General features: G+C 52.6%; 2 annotated features.

The window, feature by feature from the left end:
- Positions 7,821-8,450: an enhancer, noted in NCBI's record as "H3K4me1 hESC enhancer chr20:56474981-56475610 (GRCh37/hg19 assembly coordinates)". NCBI's record gives its function as "activates a minimal SCP1, AML or CMV promoter by ChIP-STARR-seq in naive and primed H9 embryonic stem cells {active_cell/tissue: H9 hESC(naive and primed)}" and the evidence as "EXISTENCE:reporter gene assay evidence [ECO:0000049][PMID:30033119]".
- Positions 8,451-9,078: an enhancer, noted in NCBI's record as "H3K4me1 hESC enhancer chr20:56475611-56476238 (GRCh37/hg19 assembly coordinates)". NCBI's record gives its function as "activates a minimal SCP1, AML or CMV promoter by ChIP-STARR-seq in primed H9 embryonic stem cells {active_cell/tissue: H9 hESC(primed)}" and the evidence as "EXISTENCE:reporter gene assay evidence [ECO:0000049][PMID:30033119]".

Below are 9,649 nucleotides of genomic sequence, written 5' to 3' on the forward strand. Positions count from 1 at the left end.
AGGTAACAGCTTGACTCAGTCCACAGATTCAAATGTTAATCTCATCCAGAAACACTCTCACAGACACACCTGGAAGAATGTTTTGTTTTATTTTGTTTTTTGAGACAAGGTCTTACTGTCGCCCAGGCTGCAGTGCAGTGGCATGAACTTCAAGACTCAAGAAATCTGCCCAGTTCAGCCTCCCAAAGCACTAGGATTACAGGCATGAGCCGCTGCACCTGGACTGGAATACTGTTTGACCAAATATCTGGATACCTGGTGGCTGAGTCAAGTAGACACATAAAATTAACATTGCAGCCCTCAGGGGGCATGGAGTTCCCCAGGGTACATTCTCCCTTGTGGCGTTGATCAGCTCCATAATTAAATAATCACACTGGCAGCCAGGGAGGTGGCAGAGCATCCCTCCTGGACCTCGTTTGAGCTCTGTGAGGATGGGACCCTTGCTGGGCTCATTCACCAAGGCTTCCTCTGTGCCTGGCGGAGCATCCAGGGTGTCACAGGTGCCTTTAAATGTGAGGAGCAGCAGGCAATGCAGGCCGCATGGTCACTCGCCCTTGCAAAGTCAGGGGAGAGAAGCAAGCTTCGAGCAAGTCTCAGAGGTGAGGAGGGGAGGGGCTGAGGGCAGGCAGTGCTGGGGAGCTGATTCTTTCCCTCTGGTTACGGAAGAGACTCCAAATCTCATGGCAACGCGGAAGGCGCAAGGACAAGGCCAGGACCCTCCATCCCTGCACACCCTCCGTCCACTGGTGTCTTTGGGACATCTTGACCCACAACGCCTCCCAGCACCCACCAGGACTCTTTCTGCCTTCTGAATGATAAAACCCAATAAACCATAAAGAAAATAATTATGGATGAAAAGCAAGAAGCCTGTTTCCCAGCGGGGTCCTGCCATGCCGGGATCCTGCCCAGAGCCACACTTTATGACCAAGTCATAAACACATGGAAAGGGAGATTTTAATGAAAAAGAGTCCACTCCAGCACCTCTGGGGAGAAGCTGGGGGGCTGCATTTCAGTCACCGGCCCCTGCCTGACACCCCCAGCCCTGCGTACTTGCTCCCCTGGCTTCTCTGGCCGTGGAATGTGTAATAAATAAAAAGCAAATCACACCCTGGTTCCTTGTCTTGCCTCTGTGTCTGTCTCTCCAGCACACACTCCTACAAAAGCTGATGGGCAATGACTCTGGCCCCTGGCGTCCCCAAGGTAGGACACTGGTTACCTCTGAGACCCTGAGGGCAGTGGCCCTGTGCCCAGCACAGCCACCTCCTCTCTGGAGTTCCCCCATCCACCTCCCTGACATCCATCTGCCCTGGGAAACAGGGTCCCCAAAGGTTCCAACAACTGTCCCCACTTGCCCTCTGTCCTCTGCTGGATTATAGAGTGGCCGAGAGGTGAGTGCAGCTCCCACTGAGAGGCTCTGAGCTCATTATCCAGGAGCAGAGGCGGTTTCTCTCCCTGCTGGTTTCCAGCTGCCATCTGTCACGGGCAGGCAATCCAGAACGTGTTGGCCGAGGCTGCTGCAGCCCATGGTGTTCAGCAGAGAAACCATGGGTCTTTCAATCGGATATTCCAAATACAAGCTCTGTGAATGGCTGTTACCTGTGCTTACACGTCCACGTGTCTGTTCCAGTGCGTACATGCATGCGTGTGCATGAGCAGAGGTGGGCGTGCCAAGTGTGTGTGTATGCACAGCTGCGCATGAGTAAGGGTATTCACATGCATGACTGAGGGTGTGCCATGGGTGAGCACATGGCACAAATGTGAGCTAGAGGATGGCTGTACAGTGATGGGCTGCGTCCACCTATATGGGTGACCAAGCGCCTTCCGAGGAGAGGCTGGGACGAGAAATGTTCCATGAGCCTCAGTGTGGTGGGGCTTTTACTAGATTTTATTTCCTTTCCATTCTGAGGCTGAAGGGGGTTTTTAAATCCAGGTTGCAGCTTGGGCTTGGAGAAATATAGAGATGAGATAATTAACAAAACAGTCACCCATCCACAAGAAGCAGGGCCACTCTTGGCACCTTTTAGGATGGAGAGATAATGGATTGGAACTCTTTCCAGACCCTGATTCGTGTGATCGGGGCCTAGGGGAGATGTGAGGGAAAAGGGTCAGCTAAGAGAAAGCTCGCAGAGAGAGGTGGGGGTTCCACTCGCAGCCCGCCCTCAACCAGAAAGGGACAGAGCCTCGGAAAATCCCTGGAGGGGACCTCCGCACAGAGTGTGGGAGCTCGTGGGGCAGTCTTATTTGCAGCCCTCAAGAGCTGTGCTGCTGACGGCGAGGCAGCTTTGGTCTGTGTGGTCCAGGGTTGGATATGACTGGAACCCACATGGGGACAGAATCATCCTTACAGAAACTCAGTCACCTGGAATTGGGTCTGAAACAAGGTATGGGAAAGAGGCAAACAAGGAAGGAAGGAAGAAGAAGTGAGGGAGGGAAGGAGGAAGGGAGGAAGGGAAGGAAGGAAGGGAAGGAAGGGAGGAGGGAAGGAAGGAAGAGGGAACAAGAAAGGAGGAAGGAAGGAAGAAAGAAGGAGGGAGGGAAGGAGAAAGGAAGGAAGAAGGGAAGGAGGAAGGAAGAAGGAGGGAGGGAAGGAAGAAAGAAGGAGGGAGGGAAGGAGGAAGGAAGGAGGGAGGGAAGGGGGAAGGAACAAAGGGAGGAAGGGAAGGAAGGGAGGAAGGAAGGAAGAAGGAGGGAGGGAAGGAGGAAAGAAGAAGGAGGGGGAAGGAGGAAGGAAGGAAGAAGGAGGAAGGAAGGAGGAAGGACATATGGGAGAAAGAAAATGAGGGAGGAAAGAAGTGGTGCAGGGAGAGGAAACTGTAGGTAGATGATAGGCCTTCCCCGTGAGGTAGTGAAAAGCCCATTGTTGGAAAGATTCAAGCAAAGGGTTTTTAGGGAAGGCTTTCAAGTGTCAGACAGGAGGTTGGGCTAAGACCATCAGGAAGCCCGATTCCAGCCTGTCTCAATATTCTTCTTAAAGGCATCATTTTATCACTAATGGATACAATTGATTCAGTCCATGCCGGGTCCGTGCTCAGCACTCTTGTGCATTATTTTATTTAATCCTCTCAGCAACCTTATAAGGGAGGTATTATTATTATTATTGCCTTCATTTCATAGTGAGGCCCAGCCTGGTTAAATCACTTTCCTGGGTCGCCCATGGCCAGGCTCACCGGGTCCCCAAGTCCATGTGTACTGTGATCCCCACACCCAGAGGCACAGCTACCACCATTCACAACCAGGGGCAGGCCCACCCCTTGCCTATAATCTTCTTGGATAAGGGACATCACACTGTACAGACCCCGGGGAGCCCGGCGGTGAAGCTCCTGGTATCCTGGGTGTCTGAAGACAAAGGTGGTTGAACAGAGCAACCCTGAACTGTTTCTGGGACATCCACAAGCTAAAGCAGCCTGATGGTGAGAGCCACCTTTTCTCCTGGGCAGGCAGGAAAGGCCCACAAGACACATGAAAAGTGAGGGATGCTTGAATCCACAAGCCCATGGGTCTTCATTACCATCGTAGGCCGCTGGACAGAGGGGGCGTGGTTTCCTGAGGGGTGGGCTTCCAGCCCCAGCTGCCAGCTGTGAACTTGGAAGCCTCACTGTGGACACCCGATGTGGACTCACACCTGAACACATTCCTGACACCTGCCCCAGCCCTGGGGGTCAGCATCTCCACCCAGAGAATCTTCCTTCTGGACCCTCAATCTCCCTTCAGGACCCTAAATCTTTTGGGGGGCCCTAAATCTTTCTTCAGAACCCTAAATCTTCCCTCAGGGCCCTAAATCTTCCTTCAAGACCCTAAATCTTCTTGGAGGCCCTAAATCTTCCTTTGGGGACCTAAATCTTCCTCCGAGGCCCTAAATCTTCCTTCATGTACCTAAATCTTCCTTCAGGGCCCCAGGCATTGCCCTCCTGCCAATACATCCTTCCCACCTCAGAAGATCTGGGTTTTCGGGGGACACCCTGGGGTAAAAAGTTGAACTGTCGGGCAAGTCTGGCCAGTCCTGGTGCTGGCTTCCCTTCATTCAGCCCTTGTGGAGCCCTAGAGGAGGCCCTGTTACTGAGTCAGCAATGAAGTCCCAGTTGGCACTGTTTGGTGCAAGGGCCTGTGGCGCTGTGATGGGCGGATGGTGACGTCCTGCTGGCTGTGCCCCATATGCCGGACTCCAGCTCACACTGGCATGGGCAGTACAGGCAGGATGCTGCCCAGCTCCCTTAGCACCTTTGGAATTTCCAAGTAGAAAGCTCTGGATTTGTTCAGCCGGAGCCCCTGCAAAGCCTTCCTTTTGTTTGTGCCAACCAGCTGAATCCGTGAGGTTGGCTCTCCTCTATCTGCTCGCATTCAAGGTCAGCAAAGGCCATGTTTTGTGGTTAAAGGACCCCAGCAAGGCCTCGGGAGCACTAGCCCTCGCTGCTCTGCAAAGCTGGAGGCCGATGAGGAATGTTCTCTCCTTTGAATCACGTTTTCTTGGTTGGAAGATGAAAGAACCGTTGATATCTGAGTTAGGATTTTGCCAGGGCAGGCACAGGCCAGGTTGCAGAGTTCATGGAATGAGCAGCAGGTGCCAAGGCTGACCCCTTACCCAGCTCTCCCCTGACTTGCCTCCGTTGTCCGAGGGCTAGAGACCTGCGGGCTAGAGATGGGCCTCATGGCAAGCAGCCAGGCAGGAACAGACACCCTCACCAACAGGCAGGAAGCAGTGGCAAATGCCCCACCTGTTCCTCTGTGGGTCACCTGGAGATGGCCCAGCGCAGGTCTCCAAAGGCCCCCGGTGGATGGGGCCCCACAGGCCCACAGCCAACCAGCCCAGGAAGCACCCTTCCTTCAGCTCTCTCCTTTCTCTATGCATCTTTCTCCTCTCCCTGGGTTACCTTCCTAAAACTATCTGCACCCAAGCCTTGACTCGCGCTCTGCTTTCAGGGGAACTCAAACTAAGACCTCTGCCTCCCTACAGTGGGTTTCTCAGCTGCAGAACTGTTGACACTGGGGCTGGGTAACTCTGTTGGCGGCTGCCCTGTACAATACAGGACCCTGACCTCCCCCCACCCAGATGCCAGTAGCAGTCCCCACTATTTGGGACGACTGAAATGTCTCCGGACATTGGCAAATGCCTCCTGGGGGCAAAATCACTGTGGTAGAGAAACACTACCTTAGAAGAACCAGACACTCAAAGGCCAGGCGGTCACATGAAGAAGCCAGGAGGCCCAGGGAGTGTTGGGGACTGTGGGAGACGAGGAGGACACCTCGAGTTTCTCACCCCCCAGGGCAGCCACCACTCTGCCTGCTGCCACCTTGCCAGGATGCGGTCCCGGGGCTGTCTGATCCCACCCCACCCAAATTCTATTTTCGAAAGAAGCCGGAGACTGCGGGTTAATGTGATTGTTTGTTTCTGATTTTGAAAACTGAGCTGGCACACACACACACAAACACACACGCACACACATCTGAGGACCAGCTTTGGCCCTCAGCCCAGGGGACCTTGCCCCACTACAAGTGCCCAACTCCGGACTCTGACCCCAGGCTTCTGGCATCAGGCCTTCCTCTCTCAGGGAGCCAGGCCCGTCGGGGCATGGGACAGGCAAATCTCTTTCTTCTTCTTGGGGCATTTCCAGGGATCTCCCAAGAGCTCCGAGGCCTGGTGACCCTAGAGCATGGAGAGCTGGAGAAATGTTGGAAAACCCTGTCCCGGGAAGCTCGGGCTGCATCCAGGAATGTGGCCGTGAGCTGGGCCTCCCCACTGGCCCCAGGAGGGCTGTCAGTGTCCTGTAGACCTTGGGGGAGTCTTCACACCAAGTCCTTAGCTCCTTACACAGAATCTGTCTCATGGCTTATTGGGTCAACCCAGTCCCTAGTAAGCTAAAATCCAACCAGAGCCTAAGGGCCAAATTGCATTAAAAATGTGAGCAAAGCCCTTTCTCCAGGCTCCATCTCCCTTACCTGCTCCCACCCTCTACCACTCTGCCCCGACAGGCCGCTGCCCCAGAGACTGCAGTTAGAAAACCTGAATTCAAACAATGACTTGCACCAGCTCGCTTTGACTTTGGCAAGCCTCTGAAACCTCTGTTGTTTCTTCATTGAGGAGGTCAAGGGCAGCATTGCTTGAGCACCTATTGTGTACCTAGTACTGTGCTTAGTGTTTGACAATGTTCTTTCATTTTACCTGCCAGAGCACGGGCTCCCCAAAGGCCAGGAACGAGTCTGGTTTCTGGAACAGCACTGTCTCCTCAGCACCTAGACCTGGGCACATAGCAGACAACCAAGGAATGCCCATCAACGAGAGGAGGCCTCACCTCATGGCGGCCATGTGGGGCAGGAATGACTGTAATCCCCCCTAACCAATGGAACAGCTAAGACTCAGAGAGGGTGAGTGTCTTTCCCAAGGTCACACAGCTAGTAGGTAGGTGAGCTAGGACTTCCAGCCCCGGACTGCATGCCTTTTGGCTATGTCACCTTAGCCACTCTTCCCTGCCACTACTGCCTCCCAGGTTTGCTGGAGGATCACATGCTGAGCTGCTCACATGCTGAGCTGTTCACCTGCTGAGCAAGCAAGCATCAAACGCCCATGGAATACAAGGTTCTAGGGACCTAGAACTAGAAAGACATTCCTTTTCTGCTAGTCTGTGGCTCTTCCAGGGTAGAGATGGAGCACCACACCTGGTGAAGAGCGCGGACTTGCAGGCTTACCAGAATTTGCCTGTGTATGAGTTTCTTCTTGCCATTGTAACAACTGACCACGACTTAGCTTAAAGCAACACACATTTCCTCTTTTACGGTTCTGGAAGTCTGAAATGGAGTCTCATCGGGCTAAAATTGTGTTGGCAGGGCTGTGTTCCTTCTGAGGCTCTAAGGGAGAAATCCGTTTCCTCGTCTTTTCCAGCTTCTAGAGTTTGCTTGTACTACTTGCCTCATGGCCCCTCCTCTATCTCCAAATCCAGCAAGCTCATCACTCCAACCTCTGCTGCCATTCCGATGTCTCTCTCTGACATTGACCTCCTGGCCCACCACTTCCCTTATTAGGATCCCTGTGATTACACTGTACTCACCCAGATAATCCAGGAGAGTCTCCCCCTCCAGCTCCTTACCCTAATTACACCTGCAAGGCCCCCTTTGCCTTAAAAGGTGGCATAGTTACAGTTTTGGGGGTCAGAATGCAGACATCTTTGGGGATGGTCTTAGTGCACTTACTTTGCTATAAAAGAATACCTGAAGGCAGGTAATTTATAAAGAAAAGAGCTTTATTAGGCTTATAGTTCCACGGCTGTACAAGAAGCATGGCACCAGCATCCGCTTCTGGGGAGGCCACAAGCTGCTTCTACTCATGGCAGAAAGGGAAGGAGAGCTGATGTGTGCAGAAATCACACAATGACTGAGTGCAGCAATTCTCCACCCAACCAATGGAAAAGCGAGAGAGAGACAGGGAGAGACAGTGAGCAGTAACAATGGGTGGAGGTGGTCCTACACTCTTTTCAACAACTAGTGCTCACGGGGACTAACAGAGCAGAGCTCTCTCCTCGAAGAAGGGCATTGCCCTCATGACCCAAAGACCTTCCACCAGGCCCCACCTCCAACACCACGGATCAGATTTCAATACGAGACTTGGGGACAAACTAGCCATGTCCAAACCACAGCTGGGACCATGACTCCTCCCAGCACATCGAGTTTGTGGGGTTGTATTATCAGAATTGCAATATGGCTTAGTTGGCTCAGGCTGCCATAAAAGAATGCCATAGGCTGGGTGGCTTAAACCACAGAAATGCATTTTTTCATGGTTCTGGAGGCTGGAAGTCCGAGATCAGGGTGCCAGCGTGGCAGGGTTCTGGTGAGGACCCTCTTCCTGGTTTGCATATTGCTGCCCCCTCGCTGTGGCTCATGTGACCTTTCCTGGGTCTGTGCTTAACGTGAGAGCAAGGTCTCCACCACCAAGGCCACCAGCCCTATCAGATGAGGACCTCACCCTTATGAGCTCACTGAACTTTACCTCCAAAAAGTTCAGTCTTAACACACGGTTAGATTGGGGTTAGGGCTTTAATATAGAAATTTTGGGGGGACACATTTCTGTCTCGAGCACAGAACACAGGAGACTGCTGGCTCCCACACCCTCCCTTTCTCTTCCCCTGAGAACCACGTTTCCCAGGCCACCCTTCCTCCCACTCGTTTCCCTCTGTGCTCTGCCAAGGGGAGGCCCCAGAGGAAGGTTGAGGGGAGGGAGGGAGGAGACACCCAGGTGTGTCCCCCTCTTTCAGTCGGCAGTGGGTGAGTCTCCTCTGTGGCTCCAGCTCCCCATAGGCAGCCTCAGCTCACAGCTGGGGGCTCAGACAACACAGTTCCTCCCTTTGTCCTGCTAGCCCAGGGGCAGTGGGGACTTCCTGCTGTTGCTCATCTGTGTTGCTCTCACTGCCCTGGGGCTTGGCTTTCCAGCTCTTCTGCCACCTTTATATGGAGATTTTGGCATGCACGTCCATCATTGGACTCCATTTTTCTGTCTGGGTCTTGACTAAGACTTCCCTTCACCCACAGGGCCTCGAGCCCTTCACAGGGTCCCTCAAGTGTTGGGGCAGGGGCTTCAGGTGTTGGTCCTCCTCCTGCCTGGCATCCTCTGCCCCGCCTTGGCAACGTCAGTAGCTGCAGAACATCTGCGTCTACTCCTCTGCCCATCCTGGGTCTGTGCTGAGGGCCCTGGGGTGCAGCAAGCTGCTAAGCCTGCAGCCAAACCTGGGTCCCTCTCTACTCTCTTTTGTGCTATTCTGTGTTTTCTAAATGGTTTGACAAATAGTGTCATTGTTTTTACGCAAGAAACACCAATAGAATCTTTAATTCAAAAAAAAAATCAGGGCTTTCCTCTAACACAATGTAACTTCTTTCTTTTTTTTTTTTTTTTTTTGAGACAGGGTCATGCTCTGTCACAAAAAAAAATCTCGACTCTTTTTTTGATGGAGCTGGAGCGCAATCTTGTCTCACTGCAGCCTCAACCTCCTGGGTCCAGCGATCCTCCTACCTCAGCCTCCCGAGTAGCTGGGACTACAGCCATGTGTCACCATGCCCGGCTAATTTTCTTTTCCTTTTTTTGTAGAGATGGGGACTCACTTTGTTGCCCTGGCTGATCTCAAACTCCTGGCTTCAAGTGATCCTCCTGCCTCAGCCTCCCAAAGTGCTGGGATTATAGGTGTGATCTACCGTGTCCAGCCCTGATAGAACTTTCTGTGCTCATGACACTGTTCTTTCTGTATATATTGTCCAGGACAGCAGCCACCAGGCGCAGGTGGCTATGGAATACTTGAAACATCTATGATGGAGGAACTGAATTTTAAATTTTATTTCATTTCAATGCATTTAAATTTAAATAGCCACAAGTACTGGTTACCACAGCTTTAGACTTTGGTAAGATTCCTGGAGCCCTTGTAGTGGGACTAACAAAGACTGTCTCTATGTCCTAGGATTTCTCTCCAGCAATTTCACACCCGTATGAAAGTGTCTTGTACACATCCCCCTACCCCCAAATCATCATTCAACAGGTTATCATTGTGTCCAGCCTTGTGTGAGGGGCATAAGGTGAGTCGGAGGGAAGCAGAAATGGAGGGCACAGAATAAATGTCTGGAGGTCTCAGGGTGGCAGACCAAGGGTCCCTGGGCTGGCGTGCTGGGCTGTGATGCA

This window comes from Homo sapiens, chromosome 20 (assembly GCF_000001405.40).
Source record: "Homo sapiens chromosome 20, GRCh38.p14 Primary Assembly".
In the NCBI taxonomy this organism is placed as follows: domain Eukaryota; kingdom Metazoa; phylum Chordata; class Mammalia; order Primates; family Hominidae; genus Homo; species Homo sapiens.